Source organism: Homo sapiens, chromosome 1, assembly GCF_000001405.40.
Source record: "Homo sapiens chromosome 1, GRCh38.p14 Primary Assembly".
NCBI classification, from domain to species: domain Eukaryota; kingdom Metazoa; phylum Chordata; class Mammalia; order Primates; family Hominidae; genus Homo; species Homo sapiens.
In genome coordinates this window covers 87,519,801-87,547,197 of record NC_000001.11, presented here as the reverse complement: position 1 = coordinate 87,547,197, position 27,397 = coordinate 87,519,801, and the positions used below count along the sequence as shown (strand labels likewise).

The window sequence follows — 27,397 nt, the reverse complement described above, 5'->3', positions numbered from 1 at the left end:
CCAGTCCTGGCAGGATTCATCATCTATTGACTAAATAACCCTTGGGCCCTGAATAATCAGCAGTGGTATCCAGGCAGTACTTGCCATGGGCCTTGGGTGAGATACAAGACCATGCTGGCTTCAGGTGTGGCCAGGTGCATTCCCAGCTGTGGTGACTATGGAGAGAGACTCTTGCTTGAGGAAAGGGGAAGGAAGAATACAGGGAACTTTGTCTTGCAGATTAGGTATTAATTTGGACACAGTTGTGTAGAGCACTGTGCTGATTCTTGGGGTCCCTGAGTCCAGGCCTTGGCTTGTAGATATCATTTCTGGACTAGCCCAGAGCAAGAAGGGAGCCCACTGACCTGAAGGGAGAGTCCCAGGCCTGGCAGCATTCACAACAAGCTGAATGAAGAGCCCTTGGGCCTAGAATGAACATTGGAGGTAGTCAGGAAGTACTCGTCACAGGTCTAGAGCAGTGGTGGCTATGGGAAGAGACTCCTCTGATTGTGGAAAGGGTAGAGAAGAGTGGAAAAGACTTTGTCTTGTGACTTGGGTGTCAGCCCAGCCATAGTAGAATAGAGCACCAGATGGAATCCTAAGGTTTTCAACTGTAAGCCCTGGCTCCCAGATGGCATCTCTGGACCTTCCCAGGACTGGAGGTAACCTACCTCCCTAAAGAGAAGGACAAAAGCCTGGCTGGCTTTACCACCTGATGATTGTAGAGTGTTAGGGCCTTGAGCAAAGTTAGACAGTAACTAGGCAGTGATTACAACAGGCCTTGGGCAAGACCCAGTGCTGTGCTGACTTCAAGTCTGACCCAGCATAGCCTCATGGTACTGGCCACAGGGGTGCCTGTGTCACCCCTCCCCCAGCTCCAGGAAGCTCAGCACAGAGAGAGAGACTCCATTTGCCTGGGAGAAAGGGAAAAGAACAAGACTGTCTGCCTGGTAACCCAGAGAATTCTTCCAAATCTTATCCAAGACCACCAAGGTGATAACTCTACAAATCTGCAAGAGCCACAGTGTTACTGGGCTTGGAGTGCTCCCTAATGCAGATACAGCTGCAGTGACTAAAAACTCAGATCACAACACCCAAGTCATTTTGAATACCTGGAAAGCCTTCCTAAGAACAGGTACACACAAGCCCAAACAATGAAGACTATAATAAATATTTAACTCTTCAATTCCCAGACACCAAGGAACATCCACAAGCATCAAGACCATCCAGAAAAACATGACCTTACTAAATGAAATAAATAAGACACCAGGGACCAATCCTGAAGAGACAGAATTATGTGACCCTTCAGACAAAGAATTCAAAATAGCTGTCTGGGGGAAACTCAACAAAATTCAAGATAACAAAATTCAAGAAAAGAAATTCAGAATCCTATCAGATAACTCTAACAAGGATATTGAAATAATTAAAAGGAATCAAGCAGAAATTCTGGAGTTGAAAAATGCAATTGACATAGTAAAGAATGCATCAGAGTCTTTTAAGAGCAGAATTGATCATGAAGAAGAAAGAGTTTTGTGAGACAGGGTATTTGAAAACACACAGTCAGAGGAGACAAAGGAAAAAAGAATAAAAAAGAATGATGCCTGCCTACAAGACCTCAAAAACAGCCTCCAAAGGGCAAACCTAAGATTTATTGTCCTTAAAGAGGAAGTAGAGAGAGCTCAGGGTAGAAAGTTTATTCAAAGGGATAATAACAGAGAACTTCCCAAGCCTAGAGAAAGATATCAATATTCAAATACAAGAAGGTTATTAAATGTCAAGGAGATTTAACCCAAATAAGGCTACCTCAAGATATTTAGTAATCAAACTCCCACAGATAAAGGATAAAGAAAGAATTCTAAAAACAGCAAGAGAAAAGAAACAAATAACATACAAAGAGGCTCCAATATGTCTGGCAGCAGACATCTCCGTGGAAACCTTACAGGCAAGGAGAGAGTGACATAACATATTTAAAGTGCTGAAGGGAAAAAACTTTTAACCTAGAATAGCATATCCAGTGAAAATACCCATCAAACATAGGAGAAATAAAGACTTTCCCAGATAAACAAAAGCTGAGGGATTTCATCAACACCAGACCTATACTACAAGAAATGGTAAAGGCATTTCTTCAATCTGAAAGAAAAGGAGATTAATGAGCAATAAAAATCATCTGAAGGTACGAAGCTCACTGGTAAGAGTAACTACACAGAAAACCACAGAATGTTATGGTGCTATAACTGTGGTGTGTAAACTACTCTTATTCTAAGTAGAAAGACTAAATGATGAGCCAATCAAAAATAACAACAACAACTACTACTTTTCAAGACATAGTACAATAAGATATAAATAGAAAAAACCAAAAAGTTAAAAAGCAGGGGGACAAAGTTAAAGTGTAAAGGTTTTATTAGTTTTCTCTTTGTTTATTTGTTTGTTTATGCAATCATTGTTATCATCAGTTTAAAATAATGGGCTATAAGATATTATTTGCAAGCCTCCTGTTCACCTCAAATTAAAAAAATACAAGAGATGCACAAAAAATAAAAAGCAAGAAACTAAAACATGCCACCAGAAAAAAAAAATCATCTTCACTAAAAGGAAGACAGGAAGGAAGGAAAGAAGGAAGAGAAGACTACAAAACAACCAGAAAACAAATAACAAAATGGCAGGAGTAAGTCCTAACTTACCAATAATAACATTGAATGTAAGTGGTGGATTAAACTCACCAATTAAACGATGGAATGGCTGAAAGGATTAAAAACAAACAAGACCCAATGATCTATTGCCTACAAGAAACACCACTTTACCTCTAAAGACACACATCGACTGAAAATAATAGGATGGAAAAATATTACATGCAAATGGAAACCAAAAAGAGCAAGAGTAGCTGTACTTATAACAGACAAAGTAGATTTCAAGACAAAAACTATGAAAACAGATGAAGAAGGTCATTACATAATGAAAAAGGTGTCGATTCAGCAAGAGGCTGTAACGATTGTAAATATATATGCACCCAACACGGAAGCACTCAGATATAAAAAGTAAATACTATTAGAGCAGAAGAGAAAGACTGAGCCTGATGCAGTAATAACTGTATACTTCAACACCCCACTTTCAGCATTGGAAAGATCATCTAGACAGAAAACCAACAAAGAAACGCTGGCCTTTGTCTGAACTATAGATCAAATGGACCTGATAGATATTTACAGAACATTTTATCCAATGGCTGCAGAATACATATTTTTCTCAGCACATGGATCATTCTCAAGGATAGACCCTACGTTAGGCCACAAAACAAGTCCTAAAAAATTTGACAAAATTGAAATTGTATCAAATATCTTCTCTGACCACAATGGAATAAAACTAGAAATTGATAACATGAGGAATTTTGGAAACCATACAAATACATGAAAATTAAACAATATGCTCTTGAATGACCAATGGGTCAATGAAGAAATTAAGAAGGAAATTGAAAAATTTCTAGAAACAAATGATACTGGAAACACAACATACCAAGACTTATGGGATACAGCAAAAGCAGTACTAAAAGGAAAGTTTTTAGCTACAATGGCCTATATCAAAAAAGTACAAAAAATTCAAATAACCTAACAACACATCTTAAAGAACTAGAAAAGCAAGAGCCAACCAAACCCAAAATTAGTAGAAGAATGAAGATCAGAGCAGAAATAAGTGAAATTGAAATTTAAAAAATGCAAAAGATCAAGGAAATGAAAGGGTGGTTTTTTTGAAAAGATAAACAAAGTTGACAAACCTTTAGCCAGACTAAGAAAAAAAGAGAGAAGACCCAAATAAATAATATCAGACACAAAAAAAGAGACATTACAACTGATATCACAGAAATTCAAAGGATCATTAGTGGCTACTATGAGTAACTATGTGCCAATAAATTAGAAAACCTAGAAGAAATGGATCAATTGCTAGACACATACAGCCTACCAAGATTGAAACATGAAGAAATCCAAAACTTGAACAGACTAACAACACGTAATGAGATTGAAGCAGTAATAAAAAAAATCTCCCAGCAAAGAAAACCCAGGACCTGATGGTTTCAATGCTGAATTTGACCAAACATTTGAAGAACTAATACCAATCCCACTCAAACTACTTCAACAAATAGAGGAGGGAATACTTCCAAACTCATTCTGCAGGACCATTACCCTGATATTAAAACCAGAAAAAGACACATCAAAAAAAGAAAACTACAGGCCAATATCTCTGAAAAATATTGATGCAAACATCCTGAACAAAATACTAGCAAACCAAATTCAGCAATATATTAGAAAGATCATTCATCATGGCCAAGTGCGATTTATCCCAGGAATGCAAGGATGGTTCAACATATGCAAATCTGTCAATGTGATACATCGTATCAATAGAATGAAGGACAAAAACCATATGAACATTTCAATTGCAGCTGAAAATGCATTTGATAAAATTCAACATCCCTTCATGATTTAAAAAACCTCAAAAAACAGTATAGAAGGAACATACTTCAACACAATAAAAGCCATATATGACAGACACATGACTAGTATTGTACTGGATGGGAAATAACTGAAAGTCTTTCCTCTAAAATATGGACCAAGAGAGGGATGCCCACTTTCACCACTTTTAATTCAACATAGCACTGGAAGTCCTAGCTAGAGCAATTAGACAAGAGAACGAAATAAAGGGCACCCAAATTGGAAAGGAATAAGTCAAATTATCTTTGTTTGCAGATGATATGATCTTATATTTGGAAAAACCTAAAGACTCCACCAAAAAAAAACTATTAAAAATTATAAATGAATTCAGTAAAGTTTCAGGATACAAAATCAACATGCAAAAATCAGTAATATTTCTATATGCCAACAGTGAACAATCTGAAAAAGAAATCAAGAAAGTAATTATATTTACAATAGCGATGAATAAAATAGAATATGTGATAATTAACCAAAGAAATTAAAGATATCTACAATGGAAGCTATAAAACATTGATGAAAGAAATTGAAGAGGACACAAAAAATGGAAAGATATTTCATGTTCATGGATTGAAAGACTCAATATCATTAAAATGTCCATACTACCCAAAGCAATCTACAGATTCAATGCATTCCCTATCAAAATACCAATGACATTCTTCACAAAACTACAAAAAAAAAAAAAATCCTAAGACTTATACAGAACCACAAAAGATCCAGAATACTCAAAACTATCCTGAACAGAGAGAACAAAACTGGAGAAATCACATTACTTGACTTCAGGTATACTACAGAGCTATAGTAACTGAAACAGCATGGTCCTGACATAAAAACAGACACAAAGACCAATGGAACAGGATAGAGAACCCAGAAACAAATCCATACATCTACAGTGAACTCATTTTTGACAAAGGTGTCAAGAACATACATTGGGGAAAGGACAGTTTCTTCAATAAATGGTACTGGAAAAAACTGGATAACCATATGCAAAGGAATGAAACTAGGTCCCTATCTCTCACTACATACAAAAATGAAAACAAATGGATTAAAAACTTAAGTCTAACACCTGAAGCTATGAAACTACTAAAAGAAAACTTTAAGAAAACTCTCCAGGACATTGGTCTGGGCAGAAATCTCTCAGGTAATACCCTACAAGCACAAATAACCAAAGCAAAAATTGACAAACAGGGCCACATCAAGTTAAATAGCTTCTGCACAGCAACAGAAACAATCAACAAAATGAAGAGACAACCCATAGATTAGGAGAAAATATTTGTAAACTACCCATCTGACAGGGGATTAATAATCAGAATATATAAGTAGCTGAAACAATAGGAAAAAAATCTACTCATCTGATTAAAAACTGAGCAAAGGATCTGAATAGATATTTCTTAAAAGAAGGTATACAAGTGGCAAACAAGTATATGAAAAAGTGCTAAACATCAGTGATAATCAGACAATGCAAATCAAAACCACAATGAAGTATCATCTCACCCCAGTAAAATGGCTTTTATCAGGGAATAAGAAATGCTGGTGAGGATGAAAAGGGAACCCTTGCAAGCCATTGATGGGAATGTAAATAAGTACATTAGTGGTTGTACTAATTTACAACCACTATAGAGAGCAGTTTGGAGGTTCCTCAAAAAACTGAAAATAGAGCTACCATGTGATTCAGCAATGCCACTGCTAGTCATATACCCCAAAGAAAGAAAATCGATACATTAAAGAGATATCTGCACTCCCATGTTTATTGCATTATTATTCACAATAGCCAAGATTTAGAAGCAACCTAAGCATCCATCAACAGACAAATGGATAAAGAAAATGTGGTATATGTATACAATAGAGTACTATTCAGACATAAAAAAAGAATGAGATCCTGTTATTTGCAACAACATGGATGAAACTTGAAGACATTACATTAAATGAAATAAGCCAGGAATAGAAAGACAAACTTTGCATGTTCTCACTTAGGGGGGCCTAAAAATTAAAACAATTGAACTCGTGCAGATAGAGGATAAAATGATGGATACCAGAGGCTGGGAAGTAGTAGTGGGAATATTATAACAAAATACCTGAGGTTGGCTAATTTATTTCAAAAACAATTAAAAAATATTTTTTATAATTCTGGAGTTTGAGAAGTCCAAGGTTGAGGGGTCACATCTGGTGAGGGCATTTTTACTGCATCATAACATGGTGAAGGGCATCACCTGGCAAGAGTGCAACAGCATGAAAGTTCAGGTTTCTCTTACCTTTCTTATAAAGCCACCAGTCCTCTCATAAGGGCCCCATCCTGTTGACCTTATCTAATCCTAATTACTTCCCAAAAGCCCCACCTCCAAATGCCATCAACATATGAATTTGATGATTAAGATTCCAACACATGAAATTAGGGGGACACATTCAAATGGTAGCATTCTAACCCTAGCCCCCAAAATTCATGTCTTTCTCACATGCAAAATACATTTATTCTATCCCAACAGCCCTGAAGTTTTAACTCATTCCAGCACCAACTCCAGAGTTCAAAGTCTTATCTAAATTAGTTAAGAATGAGATTTGGCTGGGCGCGGTGGCTGACGCCTGTAAACCTAGCACTTTGGGAGGCCGAGGTGGGTGGATCATGAGGTCAAGACATCGAGACGAACCTAGCTAACGTGGTGAAACCCCGTCTCTACTAAAAATACAAAAAAATTAGCCGGGCATGGTAGCAGATGCCTGTAGTCCCAGCTACTCGGGAGGCTGAGGCAGGAGAATGGCATGAACCCGGGAGGTGGAGCTTGCAGTGAGCCGAGATAGCGCCACTGTACTCCAGCCTGGGCAACAGAGCAAGACTCCGTCTCAAAACAAAAAAAAAAAGAATGAAATTCAAGGCATGCTTCATCCTGAGGCAAATTCCTTCCAGGTGTAAATCTGTAAAATCAACCAGTCATCTACTTCAAAAATACAATGTTGGGACAGGCATAAGACAGACTTCTCATTCCAAAAAGGGAGAAATAGGCAAGAATTTAGCAAAAATATGTCCCCAAGCAAGTCCAAAACCCAATAGTGCAGACATTAAATCTTAAGACTCCAGAATAATCTTTTATCCCCTGGACACACTGCTGTTGGCATTGGGACCACAAAGCTTCAGGCAGCCTTGCCTGTATAGCTTTGCTGGGCTTAGCCTATGCTTCAGTTCTTTCAGGCTGGTGTTGCATTTTGGTAGCTCTACAGCTTTGGAGTCTCAGTGGTGGTCCTATTCCCATGGCTTGAATAGGCCTTGCCCTGGTGGGGACTTTCTGTGGCAGCTTCAACCTCATATTTCATTTGACATTGCCCTAAATAGGGGCTCTCAGCAGTGGCTCCACCCCTATGACAAAGCTCTACCTAGGCCTCCAGGCTATCTGATACATCCTTTGAAAACTAGGTGAAAGTTGCCATGTCTCCACAGCTCTTGCTTTCTGTGAACCTACAGAACTGGCACCACATGGATGCCACGAAGGCTTATGGCTTGTGTCTCCTGGAGCAGCAGGTTGAGCCACACCTAGAGCCATTGAGCCACAACTGGGGCAGCTAAAAGTACTGTGCCCAAATGTGTGTGGGGAGCATAGTCCTGATGTGGCCCTGGGAAGCAGCCTGTTCTCCAAAATCATTCTCCCTTCCTAGGGCTCTGGGCATGTGATGGAAGGGGCAGTCTCAAGGATCTCTGAAATGCCTTCAGGGTTTTTCTCCCATTGTCTTGATTATCCTTTCTATCTAATCTCCTTAGCAAATGGTCACTGGAGCACACCTTTGGTTTCGTCTCCTGAAAATGCCCTTTCATTCTCTGCCACACAGCAAGGCTGATAATTTTCCAAGTCTTTCCACTTTGTTTCCCTTTTAATTATATATTCTATCTTTCAGTCATCTCTTTGCTCTCTTATTTCACTGTAAGCAGTTAGAAGTAGCCATGCAGAAGCCTGAATGCTTTGCTACTTAGAAATTTTTTCCAGCAGATATTCTAGTTCATTGCTCTTAAATTCTGCATTCCACAAAATCCTAGGGCATGCACACAATGTAGCAATGTTTTGCAACTTTACAACAAAGGTGGTCTTTATTTCATTTTCTGGTATCTTGTGCCTCAGTTCCATTTGAGACATTATCAGAATGGTCTTTACTGTTTACATTTCTATTAAGATACTGGTCATGACCACTTAGGTAATCTCTGAAAAGCTCCAGACTTTTCCTTAGTCTTCTTCTAAGCCCTCCACCGGAATTGCCCTTAATTCTCCATTTATGGCAATAAAGGCTTTTTTTATTTTCCAGCATTCAACAAACCTGTTCCAGTTTGTATCCATTATCCAGTTCTAAAGCTCATATATTCATTATTAGCCATAGACCTACCTCTTAGTACCAATGTACTATTTTAGTCTGTTTTCTGTTACTATCCAAGAATACCTGAGACTAGGTAATTTATAAAGAATAGAAGTTTATTTCTCCCATGATTCCGGAGGCTGGGAAGTCCATGATCACAGCACTGGTATCTGCTGACAGCCTTCTTGCTGAACTGTAACATAGAAGAAGGCATCATTTGGTGAGAGCAAGAGTGTACCAGCTCAGGTCTCTCTTCTTCTTCTTATAAAGTCACTGGTCTCATTATAGGGTCCCCATCCTGATGACCTTATCTAATCCTAAATATCTCTGAAAGGCCCCACTTCCAAATGCCAACACATGAATTTGAGGATTAAATTTCCAGCACATAAAATTTGGGGGATGCTTTCAAACCACAGCATTCCCTAAACTTCAACATTCAAAATGCCATTAAACATTTAACAAACATTATGCACCTACTACTTAATAGGCTCTGTCTAAGGCTTATCTTATGTCTAAACACTTTATAGAAACTTTCCTCAGTTTCCAGTTGCACTGGAGTCATGAAACAGTGTAACTTATCTTGTCATTATGAACACATATCTCTTATATGCTGTCTTATACAGAAGTTAGGAACTTGAAGTAAGGGGCTGTGTGTATACACTTTACTACTCCCATGATGACTGATGAAGTGCCTTATACACATTAAATATAAACACATCTCTAATAAAAAATGAACTGATTATTTTTCAACATTGTTTGGGGCTTGAACCAAACCATCAGCATGGTGCTTCTACCTTAAGCATACCTAGTTCTTTTAACTGTTTTTATTGTCCATATTTTCATCACCACTCATTATGCTTCTACCAAAATCAAAATCTGGTAAAGCATAGAGATGGGAATGTTAATGAATATCTACTGAATGCCAACTTTTTAAGAAATGAGAAAAGTAAATTATTTACACTTTACTGGAGTGCAGCTTGCCTTTAATGCAAGTTCACTACATTGTTTATTCATTAATTTATTTGTTCAGCAAATATGTTTCGACCATGTGCCAGGCACTGTGCAGCTACTAGGATCAAGGGATGAATAAGATATTTTTCTCCCTTTGAAGGATTTAAAGACCAGTGATGGAGAAAGAACTATAAATAATTATGTAATGTAAATCTGTATCTGTATTTGCTACTTGCTAGTTGTGTAACTTTGGGCAATTCATGTACTTTCTTGGGACTTGGGCTTCCTCAACTGGTTAAATAAGGGTCATCACAGTGAGGTTGTGCCCCTACCATATAGTTATCATTTCTTGGTGCAGTACCTGGTAAGTAATAGGTGTACAATAAATGTGGGTTGCACCTGAGTGTATAAAATACCAAAGAAACAAGAACACAGAGAAATTAACTCAAAATATGAGGCAAGGAAGTTTTCACAGGGTTCAGACTTGAAGGATGAGTAGATAATTTTCAAGATAAGGATGGAAAAAGAAGTGGATCCTGACCAGGCATGGTGGCTCATGCCTATAATCCCAGCACTTTGGGAGGCCGAGGTAGGTGGATCACGAGGTCAGGAGTTCGAGACCAGCCTGGCCAAGATGGTGAAACCCCGTCTCTACTAAAAATCCAAAAATTAGCCCGGCGTGGTGGCAGACACCTGTAATCCCAGCTACTCAGGAGGCTGAGGCAGGAGAATCTCTTGAATCCGGGAGGCAGAGGTTGTGGTGAGTCAAGATTACACCACTACACTCTAGTCTGGGCAACAGAGGAAGACTCTGTTTCAAAAAAAAAAAAAACAAAAGTAGATCCCAGAAGTGAAAGCTTTATATATAAAGATCAGCATAGGTGTGAAAGATCCCATCAAAAATTATTGAGTCAGTGGATAATAATGCTTAGGGACTCTGAGAGACTTCTGATTACCTAATAGTTCTTCCCAACTTCTAATTTATGGACATACTTTTTTCCTTCTTAATTAAAACATCTTATATCAGCACGTGTTCCATTTTATTTGATTTGATTTTAGAACAATTACTTAGTCTATTGAATTTATTTTAAATTTAATTTTAAATTCTAGAGTAAGACAGCCACCACCAGGTTTCAGTCATATATGCAAATTTTTAACGTATATCCTGCATACATATCAAGAAAGAAATTGGCATCTGAACAATGACTCAAAATTTTCAATTTAACATCACATTTCTGTGTTATTAGAAGCATCTAAATGACAACATATAATTTGGACAAAAATGAAGAAATGTGGCCGAAATCCAGATGTCTTAAATTATCTATATGCTTAACAAGATACAAATTAAAATCCTAATAAAATGGTGATAATAAATAAATATTTTTTCATTTAAAAACTTTTATTCAGTTTTGGATATTTAATGTTATGTTGATACAATATATGAATATATTTTTCCTCTACTCATTACTGCCATTACTCTATAAGACTGTCTAAAGCTTATTTGAGTTAATCAGTATGCACTGCTTTTTGTCTATGTAAAAGGTCATTTATTCTCAAGCAACTTTTTATTGCCTTTTAAAAATAGGTACTCCTTTGGCTTTTTCCCAGTGATCTGGGGTCCTGCCAATCCTCCACAGATCTTCACGTTATCATTCTTGGCTCCATGATCACATCAATTATTTTCTTGGCAAATCCAAGATAGAGTTGGTCAAGCCCAACTAGCATAAAAATATGTAACACCCCAAAGTAAATTCCAAGTTGCTTCAAATTCTGCTTTAACTTTAGTTTTTGTTTTAGCCTTCTTCTTTTATGTACATCTCTATAGTTACTTTGTTTTGTTATCACACTCTTCTATACACATATGAAACTGCCAAGAGGCTCAGGGAACAATTTAGAATTATCCAAAGCCCTTAACACTATTAAATCCTACTTGATCCGTGAAGAATAATTATCAAGGTCTGGGGGAAATTATATGGGAATTTACCTATTTACAGTTAGGTCTATTTGTGAGCAGCCAGAAGAGTTTTACCCAAGTTCGGATAACAATGTAGAGCAATTCTAAGATAGCTATATAGTTTCCTAGTTTGAGATGGTGGACAGACCTGCAGTTGCCTCTTCTTCATTTCTAAACACTCATCGAAATGACAATATCTGTATGAAAATGAATAAATAAATCCTTAGCAGGACTTGAAACAAAACCAAAAAAAGGGAGGGGAAAGAAGGTGATATTAGCAGGCCAGAAAGTTTGATGAAGTCTTGGAAGACAGGAGACAGATTGGATTATATTGCTAAATAAACTCTAGTAGAGTAAATTACAACCCAAAAAAGATATAGTGGAGTTAGGAATCATTTTCCTTAAAAGATCTCTGGTGAGTCTCCAAGCACATACAGACAGGAGTGGCTAAGGGGCAGCCATAAGGGTTTGTAACTGGAAGATCATCTTCAGAAATCTGGACTTAGGTAGCTTGTCTTCTTCCTTCATGTATGAAGCATTTTACTTATTTGACACTTGTTGTGCCCCAGGCCTGTTCATATACTAAAAATAAAAAGCCACTTATTGGCCGGGTGTGGTGGCTTATGCCTGTAATCCCAGCACTTTGGGAGGCCAAGGCGGGTGGATCATGAGGTCAGGAGGTCAAGACCATCCTGGCTAACATGGTGAAACCCTGTCTCTACTAAAAATACAAAAAAAAATTAGCCAGGTGTGGTGGCAGGCACTTGTAGTCCCAGCTACTTGGGAGGCTGAGGCAGGAGAATGGTGTGAACCTGGAAGGCAGAGCTTGCAGTGAGCCGAGATCGTGCCACTGCACTCCAGCCTGGGCGACAGAATGAGACTCCATCTCAAAATAAATAAATAAAATAAAATAAAAAAGCCACTTATCAATAAGTTTCACCCTTTGACACAGGGCTTGGCAGTCCTTCCATTCAGGGCAGTGGCCTTTTGGGTGAAATGGTCTGTTTAACTTCAAAAATTACCCATGCCAGCCCTCTACATTGATGAATGTAGTCCTTTATGCACAAAAATTAGTAGTCAGCCAAGACCAGATGTTTAAGGGGAACCAAGTAGAAGAAAAAGAAAGACAAAAGTGAATAAATAGAAAAACTGACCCCAGAAGAATCAGTAATAATGCAAGGAATAAAATAAAACATTAAAAATCCTAATTAGTGTCCTCAGAAATTCAAGAATATATTGTATTTATAATTTAAAAAGAGGCTGCTATGAGTTCTTAGAAATAAAAAAGAGTTTCTATTTTTTAATGCATTAAAATTTGAAAAGCAATGATCTAGAGCGCAGATCCAGAATATCCTATACCTATCTGTAGAGGTGTTTTAGAATGAGACAATGTAAACAATAAAAGAGTTGAAATAATCAAAGAAATAATAAAAGAAAATAGCTTAAATTTTCCATCAGCTGGAAAAAATATAAATTCAGTTATTGACAAATCCCACCAAATGTTCAGTGGAAAATATATGCACTAAATACATCATTGTAAAATTTCAGAACAGCAAGCATGAAGAGAAAAATTGTAAAAACTTTCAGATGGGGGCCGGGTGCGGTGGCTCACACCTGTAATCCCAGCACTTTGGGAGGCTGAGGCGGGCAGATCGTGAGGTCAGGAGATCAAGACCATCCTGGCTAACATGGTGAAACCCCGTCTTTACTAAAAATACAAAAAAATTAGCCAAGCGTGGTGGCGGGCACCTGTAGTCCCAGGTACTCGGGAGGCTGACGCAGGAGAATGGCATGAACCTGGGAGGTGGAGCTTGCAGTGAGCCGAGATTGTGCCACCGCACTCCAGCCTGGGGGTGACAGAGTGAGATTCCGTCTCAAAAAAAAAAAAAAAAAGTTCAGAGAGGGAAAAAAAGTGATTAACCAAAAAGAAATGAGCATCAGATTAACACAAATGTCCTATGAACAACACACAACACGATATACAAAAAGACTATAAAGCAATGTTAAACATATAATTCTATATGAAGTGCAGTTGTAGACAAAATTTAAGCGAAAAAATAAAGGCATTTTCAGACATGAAAGAACTTAGAAAGTTTACTTCTCATCCCTTTTCTAAAGAAAATATTTTGAAGATATACTCCAGCAATATGAAAAAATAACCAAGAAGAAGAAAAGGAATACAAAGACAGTGTAACCTGACCCAGAGGTACAATGAAAGAAATCTCAGAATGAACAGTACATCAAGAAAGTAATGAGGACAAATTAGAAGGAGACTAGAGGACTTTATAAAAAAAAATCTTTTTATATTAATTGGAGGTGAGTTAAGGATATTGAGGATGGTAATGTACATGAGAAAATGGATGTAAAATAAATTCATGGTGAAATATAAAGGAAAGTAAAATATGACATTTTGAGCAATTGTTGTAATATACATAAATATTATAAAGACAGCATATTATGTAAACATATATATATAAATCCTTTTTAGTTGGTGTTTGGAATGATATGAAATTATACTGCTTTCTCCATGTGCCTAATCATACGACATGGTTTTACAGAGAGTAATATTTATATCATTATAATTTTTACATATTTCAGATTTTTATGTTTTTAAATCAACCTATAGACAATATGTGAAAGACTTTTTTATACTTTCAAACCAAACTATAAGTGACACAAATATAAAAATATCAATATGTAAGTGTAAATTATTATAATTCTGTTTACATGTAAGTTGCTTTAAACTTAAAAAAATGTAAAAATATAACGATTCCACTGACAAAAGTCAGCAGGGGGAAAGAAGAAAAGAAAGAAAGGTTAGGTGAGCTGATTTTCTCAGCTCACCTAGTATGGCGAAAATAGAGGCAGTCTAAAACTGGTGATTGAAAAACATAGGTTAAGGATAATATTAAGTGATAAAGAGAGCCAATATAAAAACTAACACACTACCTCCAAAAATAACCAACAAAAAAATCAGAACTTGGAAGGGAAATGAGAAGAAAGGCAAGAGTATAAGTACATAAAACTTACCTTTTGTTTGGAAATCAACAGATATGATCTCAAATCTTAAGAAAATCAAGAATACAACATACGATTTAGAGATAGGATGGTAAATGTCAGAATGCTAAAAAAAGAAGCAGTTAAAATCATTATCTTTGGAAATCTTTACAGATCAGTAGGAGGCAGTAAAGATAAATTTTACTTTTCATTCATTCCCCTTCTATACACGTTTGAATATTTTAACGGATACATATTGGTTAGAGGTTGGGAACAGTAGGGGACAGAGGGGGATGAAGAGAGGTTGATTAATGGGTACAAATATACACTTAGATAAAAGAAATGAGATGTAATGTTCAATAAATTGGTAGGGTGACTACAGTTAACATTAATCAATTGTACATTCCAAAATACCTAGAAGAAAATAATTTGAATGTACCTAGCTTAAAGAAAAGATAAATGTTTAAGGTGATGGGTATCCCAGTTACCCTAATTTGATTTTTGAATGGATCAAGTTATCACATGTACCCTAAAAATATATACATATAATATGTAGCAATACAAAATAAATAAAATTGAAAAAAAGTTAAAATTTTTAAATAAAAAAGAATTTCAGTGGGACTTACATGATGTAGATACTTAATTAACATGAAGTGGAATAAGCACAAAATATTTACTAGTGTCTGTTTTTTATTAAATAAATTTTATGAGCACCTACTATTTGTGTGATCCTTGGTCTATATTGAATCAGACAGACATGCTCCTATCATGAGAGAGCTTATTGTCTATCTATAAAGACAAACATTAAACAAATAATTATGTAAATAAATTGTTCAGTTATACTTGTGTCAAGTGTTGGGAAGGTTAAATGTATCATGAGAAAATATAACAGGGGAACATAAGCCTGACAGATTGCTTTGGGAGATTTGTATGCAAGTGTAACAAAATCTGCTTTTTTGGTACTAACATATAACAGCCATTGGACAAAAAGGGAATACACAGTAAGAAAGTGGTCCCTGACCTTTTTGGCACCAGGGACCGGTTTCATGGAAGACAATTTTTCCTCAGACCCAGGGGCAGGGAGGATGGTTTTGGGATGATTCAAGCACATTACATTGATTGTGCACTTTATTTCTATTATTATTACATTGTAATATATAATGAAATAATTATACAACTCATCATAAAGTAGAATCAGTGGGAGCCCTGAGCTTGTTTTCGTGCAACTAAACAGTCCCTTCTGAGGGTGATGGGAGACAGTGGCAGATCATCAGGCATTAGATTCTCATAAGGAGCACACAACCTAGAACCCTCACCTGTGCAGTTCACAATAGGGTTTGTGCTCCTTTGAGAATGTAATGCTGTGGCTGGTCTGACAGGAGGCGGAGCTCAGGCAGTAATGTGAGTGATGGGCAGTGGCTGTAACTACACATGAAGCATCGCTGGCTTGCTGGCCACTCATCTCCTGCTCTGCAGCCTGGTTTCTGATAGGTACCCATCCATGGCCTGGGGTTGGGGACCATTGCAGTAAGAGACAGTTGTTTAACTAAAGGCAACTAAATTAGCTCCCACTTAAACGAAGTTCTGTCCCTTATTCTATATAACTCAAGTCAGAAATAAAAGCATTTATAGAATTTCATGGTTTTAAGTTTTCTGAACTTGAGAAATTTTCCCTCAAAATGAATCAAATCACTTAATTTTTTTTCAAAAAAATAATACACTGAAAGCTGACAATTTGGCAATCTGCTGTGAGAGTAGGTAAAGATCACCCCACTTTAACATTTGAAAAAAGCATAGTATTGCCAGAGCTGTCAAGAACTTCAAGTTGTGAAGGAGGTAATTTGATCTCCTGCACTTAAAAACTATTTACTTACGCATTTCTATCAGCTTTCACTCACATAAACTAAGTGTGAGAAGCAGAAAGCATATTTTCATTTAACCTGTATCCAACCAAGATATGGGCTAGCGTGTGCCATAGTTGAGGGTCTTATGACACAAGAAGAGGGCTGGCCAGATAAGGAAACTTGTTCTGAGTGGAAGAGGAGTTTCAGGGAACACAAAGGAAGAATCCATTGAGTAATTAGGAGACCGTTTATAATCTTTAAAAAGTGTCATTTCTGGCCCTTACAACAGTCTGGGCCTTCTCGTGTGCCATGTCAGGACTGAACATGATATAGCCAACTGTGGACTGCAGGATCCCAGAGCGGGCTCCCTCAGCCACAGCAAGCCTGTGAGCTTCCTCCTGTTCACCCAGCTCAGCTTCCTAGTGCCATACTCGCTGCACACACACCCCTACCTTCATGCCCATTTTTGATATTTCTGGTTTGGCAACCTGTTTTATGCAACCATTTCATCAGACTAAGAGAGCAAATGTGGACACCTTGTAACCGGTTGTTCCTTTGGAAAACATCAATTAATGTCCTTTCAAGCTGAAAGCTACATATAAGTAGTGACATTGAGTAGAATACAAAGAACGTGTCCATTCTTGTGTGAACCAAGTAAAATTAACCAAGCAAAAGGTTTTCTTTCCCACAAATAAGAATGTTTTATTTCAACCCGTGCACTATTGTTCTTAAGATGACAAATGTAATAATAGGTGAATCGAAGCCTTTTAACATAGAAAAATTAACAGATACTAGATTGCTGACTGCCTCTATGTACTTCTCAAACTTAAAAATTTTGTCAAACTCCTAGAAAACTGAAGTTAGAACAATAATTTTAAAGAAAGTTAAACTTCAGATTGACTTCCTTAGAAACTCAATGAGAAAGCAGAATTTATTTCTCAGTGTTTTTGGTTTGTTTTTTCTTTTGGGGCTAGAAATTATTTTGATGTTGTGAAATTATATCCAGTCTCATGATTGTGCTAATAAGCTCTACTTTGGTAAAGAACAGATATTTTGTAATAGCTTGTCCAGAATCACCTTAGAAACGTGTGTAGCAATTACTATGTGCCAGACCACTGTTCAAATGTTTTATATATATTGACTCATGTAATCCTTATACAACCTAGAAGTGGGAGGTGACAACGTGCTAGCAGCCCTCACTCGCTCTCGGCGCCTTCTCGGCCTCAGAGTCCAATGGCTCTGGACGCGCTTGAGGAGCCCTTCAACCCGCTGCTGCGCTGTGGGGGCCCCTCTCTGGGGCTGGCCGAGGCAGGAGCCGGCTCCCTCTGCTCACGGGGAGGTGTGGAGGGAGAGGAACGTCTGGGAGCCAGGGCCGCAAGCGGCACTCAGGGGCCTGCGCGGGTTCGGGTGGGCCGGGCTCAGAAGGCCCCGCGCTCAGCGCAGCCAGCCGGTGCCTGCTGGGCTTGATCAGGAGATGAGTTCCCTCTGGGCTGCCAGAGTGCCTGGGCTAGGTGCTGCAAAGTCCTATAGCGACTGCCATTGAGAAGTGAAGCCGGCTAGGCTTCTGGGTCAGGTGAGGACCTGAAGAACGTTTCTGTCTAGCTGAAGGTTTGTAAACGCACCAATCAGTGCTTTGTCAAAACGGACCCATCAGCTCTCTGTAAAACGGACCAATCAGCTCTCTGTAAAATGGACCAATCAGCTCTCTATAAAATGGACCAAGCAGTAGGATGTGGGTGGGGCCAGATAAGGGAACGAAAGCAGGCCTCCCAAGCCAGGAGCGGCAAACTGCTGGGATCCATTTCCATGCTGTGGACTCTTTGTGCTTTGCTCTTTGCAGTAAATCTTGCTGCTGCTCACTTTTTGGGTCTGCACCACCTTTATGAGCTGTAACACTCACCGCGAAGGTCTGCAGCTTTACACCTGAAGCCAGGGAGACCACGAACTCATCAGGAGGAACGAACAACTCCAGACGCGCGGCCTTTAAGAGCTGTAACACTCAACGCGAAGGTCTGCAGCTTCACTCTTGAAGTCAGCGAAACCGCAAACCCACCAGAAGGAAGAAACTCCGGACACATCTGAACACCTGAAGGAACAAACCCCGGACACACCATCTCTAAGAACTGTAACACTCACCGCCAGGGTCCGCGGCTTCATTCTTGAATCAGTGAGACCAAGAACCCACCAATTCCAGACACAGAAGGTTGGTATTCAGAGAGCTTGTGTAACCTATCCAAGGTCATACAGCTAAACAGGTGGCAGTGCTAGCATTTGAACCCAAATAGTGTGCCTCCAACAGCTCTAGTATATAAAGCATGTCTTGTAAGTAAATATCCTATTTTTTGCTTTGACTTTCATGATTGTTTTATCAATGTTTATTTAGAGATTTGATGATCCTCAGGTGTCAGTTATTCCTCTGCCACTTGAACTCCCTTCCCCCTTGGTTCTCGCTACCTGCATTTCCAGTCTGCCTGTCAAATAGTTAATGATCTGCATACAAACACTTTCATGAACTAGTGGAACTCAGCCTTTAAAAGAATCCTAGGGGAATTCTTTAAAGACTCTTTTACAGTATGAATAATCATCCCTTAGTTTATTCATCTGTAAATTTTTGGTTTCACATAGTACATTTTCTTCAGGCAGGGCCAACCACATTGCTTTTTAAACTCTTAGATAGATCAGCTTTGCTTTGTCATTTTGTGATCCAAGAAAGCCAATTATTTTAATGTCCACATCAACTATTCTCCTTTTAGAATTTATGAAAGTGAAAAATATGTAGCCCAAAAACTCTTTGTTAGAGAATATTTCTCATGAAATGGGAATTTTAGCCCTTCTTCTTACTTAGAGTACTTATTTGTTCAGTCGCAAGACAATGAAAATAAAATTTAAGTCTCCAAAATATTATTTCTATCCATTTAATTTTATCAGGCCAGACCAACTTTTCTCAGCAGATCAAATTAAATTTTTATATCGACTTTTCACTTTTATGTTGAGAAAATTTGTTATTCTATATCCATAGACTTTTGAGCAAATATCACCTAACTCTGATTGCTGTAATCTCCTCTGGCTGGTCTACCAGCTCTAAGAGACCTGCTTTCTAGCAGGTTCAGTTTTTTGAGATCAGGACAAAAGCCAGACTAAAGCACACTTTTAAGTACTTTGAGCAAAAATTAAAGACGCCCCATAAGGACAGACATTCCATAGTTTCCACCAAGTCAATCAATGATACAAATGTAACTTCATATTGAAAGCATGTAATGGTTTTTGTCTCAGTTACTGAACCCCAACATTTTGGTTTGGAGTACTCTCTTCAGAAGTGTTCAAGGTTCAAATTGAGGTCTTCTGTTGTCATGGAATAACTTTCTCAACAATGGTAAGTAGTGGAGATAAGAGTTAATGGGGAATATCCTATTCACTTTTCTCTGAGCCCTCTGAAACAGATTTTCTAAACCCTTCCATGTGATCCCGACCATGTTATGGGTTTGCTAACTTTGCAGTACATTGGATTGAAACATCGTAATTCTTTCCATGACAACAGTGTCTGATGTTACAGATGTACAACCAGTGAGGTCAATAGTTGACAGATGGACGTTGAAGCCATGCAATTACACCTCCCAAACCATTATAAAGAATGTAACAGAAGAAAGGTGGAACCCAGTCTAAAACACACCAAACAATAAAAGGCACTAAAATAATTGCTTCACATTTAATGAATCTTTCTTTAATATGACAACCAATCCAAGAATCTTTGAATTCCCTTTCCCTGGTAAAAGTCAAAACATTTTTGAGGCGGTGGCAGTTTATCTAAATTACTGTTTTTTCTCCATCAGTCTTTAGGCTTAATCTCATTTGCTTTTATGGATATGGTAACCCTTTTGAATAGCTTTTAACCTTTTAAAAGTCGCCTTGACCCGAAGAGCCTAAAAATTTTTAATATAATATTGAATGATAAAAATTGAACAATTGAGTGCTTTTCTGACTCTCAGTCTGCATGCAGTGCTCTGGGTCGTACAGCAGAATTTCTGGCTGAATGAAAAAAAATTAAAATACCTGTATATAGCTTGCTTGTAGCAGAAACCTTCAGCTCTGACCTCCGTTTCATTGGCTCCATTGTTCCTTGTGCCCCCACAGTATCTTGGCTTTCTCTTTTCCAGAGAAAGAGTGTGTTTTATCCTGCAGCACGTCAGCTTCAAAGGGCTCTTACTTCAAGTGTCCAGCGCATCATTCTGGTAAATTAAGAAATCCTCGGCTTAAGATCGTCTCTTTCAATCACATATAATGTGGGTAACTTCATGACTAAACATTATAAACCAAGCCGTTTGTTTGCTTTGCTTTTTTTCTCACCATAGTCTCTATTTTGTGTTTAGTAAGATGTATAACAAGAAGATGCTCTGCAGATACAACTCATGTTTTTTTTTTTTTAACCTTAGTGTTTGTGGAATTTAATTACAAAAACTGAAAGGAGAGAAAACAAGATGGCATTGTTGCTAACCTGTGAGAAGTGATGGGGGCCTGCCAGCTGAATGCTAGCCCCTGGTGGGCTCATGGTAACAACAGAGAGGGGAGCCTTCTCTGGGAAGAGCTACCTCCTACTCCAGCCCAGCCGACCAGGCTGGGATCCACAGATCCACACTCCAGCATGCTGAGCGGAGAAAGACTTATTGTTGAGAATGTCAGTCAACTGACATTTTGCCTCCTACTCTCTCTATCTGAGAGGGGAATCTGCATTTTCTAAGCCAGTTGGCAGCATGCACCACAAACAGCAATGCACTGCAGGCCCCTGGTATAGACTGTCACCCTGTGATAAGTGTGCCAGCTCAGTGGTGCAAAGGTTTTCAGATACCCTCCCTTGGGCTATCATTCCAGTAGGCAGCTCCTCCTCCTCCTCCCCTCTCCCTCACATACACTGAGCATCAGGCTCTCCAAGCTCAGTTCTCAACATAGTTACAATAACCCATCCTAGTCAGTGATGCTTAAAATTGAACCATGGTTCAGGGGAGCAGTAGGCTCTCCCTGCAAGCACCCTAATGTGTTAAACAGCCATGCCAGGTAGCTGTCTCCTTTCTTGGAATCAGCTACTTACAGAGACCCTCTGTCAATGGAAGTTTTTATGCAAGTCCTCTAACCCAGCATTTGAAGGATAAACAAACTTGCACTTACACAATTTTCTTTAAGAGCAGTTCCCTCTAAATGTTGGTTCTCACTGCCTGCTTCAACTGCGGGCCTAGAAATGGAAAAGGAGTCCAGGTTTGGAGCCCCTCTGGTGACTGAGTGTGTACCTCCAACATGACTACGTTTGTACAGCTGAGACTCAACATGTAAGGCTCTTTAGGTGGTTGGAATTATTTCATTTGGCACCATGATTGCCTCAAATAATACATACTTTGAGAGAGAGAAACGCTGCAGAAGTAAACTCGAACCAATAGGGACATTTATTCTTCAGGTTTAAAATTAATTTCCTGTACTTCTCTGGCTTAAGAAAAAAATTGTATTGGAACTGCAACCTTATGAGAAGAAAAATTCGAAACTATTTCTTTTACACTGAGCCCAGTATCAGATGAAATGGAAATGTGAGGGCTTCCTTAGCGTTAACCCGCTGGAACTTTCCAGCTGAGAACTGAGATCTGCAGACTGCTTTAGGTTAAGACCCTGCTCCACTCCATGTTAGGTAATCAGATGTCATTTAGGCAGAATAAATGGGAAGTACTCAAGGAATCAGAAGAGGTGAAAGAGCAGAGTCTGGTTTGGATAAAAGTTTAATTCTTCAGTTCCAAGAGGCATAGCCCTTCGAAGATGCTGAGCAAAGTCAGACAGGAGTGGCCGAGTAATGAAGATGGATGCATCTTGTTATCAGCAAGCCGTTTACTAGGGCTTGATGTAACCTTAAACATTGCAGATAGCTCAATGGCACTTGCCACTAAACCCCTAATTAATGAAGAGCAGGCCCTAAATTAACAATGTGCATTTACAGATGAATTCTAGGCACTCATTAAATGATGTTCAAATACCAAGCAGCAACTGTTGGCTTATTCCTGCTGGATTACTCTATCCACTGTGTGTGAGGGAGGACTTTCCACTAGGGCTTTCCTGTCTTGCAGGGCGGGGGACTAGCTGTGGAGCAGAAAGGGACACCGTTCTCAGGGGATAGGTTATGGCGTAAAGAGATGTGAACTCAGTTTTGACATGTGACACCTGTGCCACCATTTAAAGGCGATCAGAAACAATCCCAGATTTAGCTGATGCTGCCAATAAAGATAAAAACCAAAAAGTTTGAATCCCAACCAACTCTGTCAAGGATGGAATAAGACGTTTCAAAGTGCAGCCCCACGCTGCGCTTTCGTGGGTGGGCTGGAATGCACCCTGGGGATGGAAGGTTTAGACAACGTGTAGATTTGTTTGGCAAAAGCTTAATTCATAAACAATTACGGGCTGTGGTGAGGTAGCTGGATCTGGCTGCAGCAGGCTGCCGTCATTCTGACTGCCCCCTCCACTGAGGCCTGAAGGCCAAAGCCAACCAAAAATGTGTTCTGCAGCAAACAGTAGTCAAGCTAATTATCTAGCACGCTCTGTTGGGGGTTTTCCTCTTGATTTCGAGGAATAAAATGAGGAGCTGCGGGCTTGTAATATAACAAGGATGTAGCCCCTGTGTGGGAAGGTGTATATATGGCTATTAAATAATATTAGTACCTTCAACTCTCAAAGAAGTAAAATAAAGACAGAAGCCAAGTATGAGTAAGACATTGGAAAGTAAATTAAGTGGAAAAGAAAATGTTTTAAACTTCTGCAGGAGGCTGTCGTAAAAGAAGTTCTTGCAAAGCTATGGTGAGGAATAGAAATGGATTTCAAGGAAGAGAATGTTCAGAAACATCTCCCTTTGGGTCATTTCTGTGCTGGCTGAAATCCCGGGGCAGGCCCCTTCTGTTGTGAGGGGAAAGTATCTGAGGTTTTTGAGCGGTCACCCTCTAAAAGCACCCATGCTAAAGAAAGCACAGCCGCCTCCCCACCAAGGGCACAGGGCAGAGGCTGTGTAACAGCCCAGGAAAATTCCCCACACACAGTGCCAAGATCCATGTATGGTCAAAAGCAAAGGCATTCTCTTGTTTGTATGGATCATTTCCACATCAGGTTTTCCAAATGGGTTTGTGTACATTCAGGGACAGGGTACTCCCATGGCCCCATGGAGGCAGTATAAAGGCAAACTGGTCTGCTAAAGAAGAAAAAATAACTCTTAATTTAAAATGCCAAAGGGACTTGTGTTGGGGAGGGGCTAGGGAAGGCAGGGTGCTGTATTGTTGATGTCTGCCACCTAAATATTCCTGAGGAATTAACTGGTAGGAATTGAACAGAGTGCGGGAAAAACAGGTGTTTCCCTTTTCCCAAGGGCATTTCTCATTTATTATATATCTAGTCAAAATTTTCTTTTTGAGCAAATTTTATCACATACAGATAGAGGCTATGAGAAAAAAGCACCCTAAGCAATCATTTTAAGAGCTGCCCTCATTCCACATTGTGTGACTGAATACAAATCCTTTATTCTTCCCAGTTTGATGATGAGATGGGGATTTAACCTCTGCTTGCCATCATTATCAGTTCACTGAGTTTCTGAGTATAAGCCACAAAGCTCTTGGAAATGTAAGTTCCTGGATGTTTGCCCTCACCCCACTCCCCCCCACATCCAAAGCAATCCAAATACAGAGCTTACTGGGAGGGGGAGATCAATAGGAAGCAGCTTCTTATTACAGCATTCCCCTAGATTGCTCAGAACTCCGTCCATGGGGTCTCTAGTCCCAGTGGTCATACAATTAGGGAAAAAGTGGACTTCAGACAATGAAAGAGAATGAGCAAAGAATAGACGCAAATCACAGCATCTTTTTCTGCCTCCACTATAAGCTGCATAACCCAGCTCATCATAGCATATGTATAGGCCACATTTCCTCAGGTTTCAAAAGCCTGACGGTTCAATCAGAAATGTATGTCACAATAAAGCAACAAAAGAGGTGCCCCTTACGTAACCCTCACTGGAAAAATCTCGAGACTCCCTAGCCCATATCTCTCTGATTCAAGGGGTCCCTGGTGTGTCTCACATGTGTCCCAAATCACTGCAAGTGTCCTCTGCTCCCACCTCATAGCATTTTCTCAACTTTCTCTGACATTCCTGACTCCCAGAATGACTCTCCAGATGTGAAAACTGACATCAATCCTCTAGCCAGATATTTCCATCTTAACATAGTCTCTTTTAAGAGTCTGACCTTGGCCTAGAGAAGCTTTCCTGGACCTACATAAAAGGAATCCATTGTTCCTCAGTCTAACGTATTAGCTAGGAAGTTAAAGCCTAGCCATTTGTTCTTGGGAGGGTCTTCTCCTCGGGAAGCAAGTCATCAGCCCCAACCTGACAGCTGTGAATTCTCCCTGCTATCCAAAAGAGTTTTACCAGATCATTATACCAGCCCAGATAGACAGGTCCATGTATGCCCAGATTGTCTGACTATACAGTAGAGATCCTACTCTGAGATCCTCAAATACACATGATTCAGGGAAATAATTTTACCAAAAGTGTCACTACCACATAGAGGATCATGTATTGAGCAGATGTTAGTCTTATCCTGTAGTACCAGTGCTTTCATCAGACCATCTTTTGTATTAGGGTGATCCTATCTGCTCTAACAAAATGCCTTAATGGATAAAATACAACAAAAATTTACTTCTCACTCAAAAACACCAAAGTAGATGTTCTTCCAAGTATCATCCAGGCTCCCAGACTCCTTCCATCTTGTACCTTCACTATGTTCAAACACATGGCTCCCAAAATCAATGTGCTCTTTTGCATCAAACTGAGAAATGAAGAAAGAGAAGCACACTTATTTCTTAACCTCTTTGACTCAGCATCAACACAGTGCTTACAATACATTGGTGAAAACCAATTAGATGATCCCTTAGATATAAGAGAGATGAAGCTGAAGATACAGTCTCTGCTGAAAAATAACTTCCTTTCAACAACTCTATACTCTAGAAGAGGAAGCACAAATGTTGAGGAGAGCCAGGCTTCTACGTCAGTACACTAGGCTGATACATATCTTAACAAAAGTACTATAATGACAACTATATACTGTCTACAAGTGACATATTTAGATTCAAAGATGAAGATAGATTGAAAGTAAAACCATAGAAAAAATACAATATGCAAATAGTAAACGGGAGAGAGTTGGAGTGGCTTATACCAATATCAGTCAAAATTGACTTTAAGTTAGAAGTGGTTACTATAGACAAAGGACATTTTAGAATAATGAAAGTGTCAATCTATCAAGAGGATATAATACAAACATATATGTACCTAACAACCAAAAGATGAAATCCATAAATCAAAAGGTACTTCATTCCTTTTTATGGCTAAATAATATTCCTAGAATAGGTATAACATATTTTGTTTATTATATAATAAATGAAACTTGAAAACATTAGGCCAAATTAAAGAAGCAGACCAAAAAAAAACCCCACATATTCTATGATTCCATTTATATTAACTATCCAGAATAGGCAAATCATAGAGATAGAAAGTAGATACGTGGTTGCAAGGGTTAGGAAGAAGGAGAAATGGAGAATGATTGCTAAGGGGTTGAGAGCTTCCTTTGGGGGAATTAAAATATTCTGGAGCTAGATAGTGATGATAGATACACAGCCTTGTGAATATACTAAAAATTAGTTGACTGTACATTTTAAAGGAATGAATTTAGTGATATGTAAATTGTGTTTTTTAATAAAATATTGCTTATCCATATTTCATACACACACACACACACACACACACACACGTGGGTTAGAAGTGAGTGAAGATTTGGATGCAAGTATGTCTAACCTTCAGACTTTTTTTACCATGTGGTTCTTTTTTGCCTAGAATTTTGACGTTTTTTTAAAAAGCACTGAAATAGTTCCAAGATGTTTGCAATTTATTAGCCATTGTCCTAGAAGATCTTTATTTTGATTTTGGTAATGTATTTGGATTTTTTTTTAACTGCTGTGTAACAAATTACTACAAACTTTGAGACCAGAAAAAACACAACTTTATTATCTCACAGTTCCCATGGGTCAGGAGTCCAGGCACTGGCTATTCGGGTTCTCTGCTCAGTGTCTCACAGGCTGAAATCAAGACGTCATCTGTTCTCATCTGGGTCTCAGAGTCTTTTTCCAAGTTCACTGATTCTGTAAAATTCTATTTCTTGAGGTTGTAGGACTGAAGACTTCAGCTCCCAGAGGCCACCTGCCCTTCCTAACTGTGTGACTCTATCCACAACATAGTAGTTTGTTTATTCACAGCTAACAGGCCAACATCTCTGTTGCTTCTTCTGACTCTGACTTGTAGATCCTCTTTTAAATGGCCCATTTAGCTAGGTCAGACCCACTCACAATAATTTTCCTTTTGATTAAATTGAAGTCAACTGATTGGAGGCTTTAGTTGAGTCTGCAAAATTCACTGATCTTTTGTTATTCATGTAAACCAATCAAGAGATTATATCACCATCATATTCACAGATCTAAAGGGGAGAGGAATATACAGGACATGGGTCATTGAGGGTCATTACAAAATTCTGCCTACTAGAGGTAGGTTGTTCTATGTATGCCAACCAAATACGGGCCTTGGTAAGCTAAGAGCCTGATCACTGTTGGGACACCATTTGGGGAGACCTGGTCAAGCCATACATTAAAGCTAAACTCTGCTTAAGCACCAAACCTGATAGTAGTTTCCAAACCTGGTTACCCATTGCAACCTCCTACACACACCCACCCACACACACACACACACAAAAGCACATGCACATGTACATGGACGCACATACGCACACATCCATGTTTTTGAGAAGTTCCAGATG

General features: G+C 38.8%; 2 long non-coding RNA genes across 3 annotated transcripts in view; one reads left to right on the top strand and one right to left on the bottom strand.

Moving 5' to 3' along the window:
* The first annotated feature begins 18,280 nt into the window (after window positions 1–18,280).
* On the top strand, window positions 18,281–20,864 carry LOC105378835 (uncharacterized). 2 transcript variants are annotated; one of them, XR_947566.2, is made up of 3 exons: window positions 18,281–18,735; window positions 19,806–19,905; window positions 20,030–20,443. It is a non-coding gene; the product is annotated as an uncharacterized LOC105378835 (long non-coding RNA). The 2 variants fall into 2 exon arrangements; XR_947567.2 differs by lacking the exon at window positions 20,030–20,443 and adding an exon at window positions 20,687–20,864 and having other exon boundaries at window positions 18,626–18,735.
* LOC107985408 (uncharacterized) overlaps window positions 18,585–27,397 on the bottom strand; it is a 28,253-nt gene continuing 19,440 nt past the window's right edge. The window contains exons 3-4 of the long non-coding RNA XR_001737795.1: window positions 20,583–20,758; window positions 18,585–18,618 (exon numbers count right to left, since the gene is read on the bottom strand). This is a non-coding gene — a long non-coding RNA (uncharacterized LOC107985408). The remainder of the gene's footprint in view (window positions 18,619–20,582; window positions 20,759–27,397) is intronic.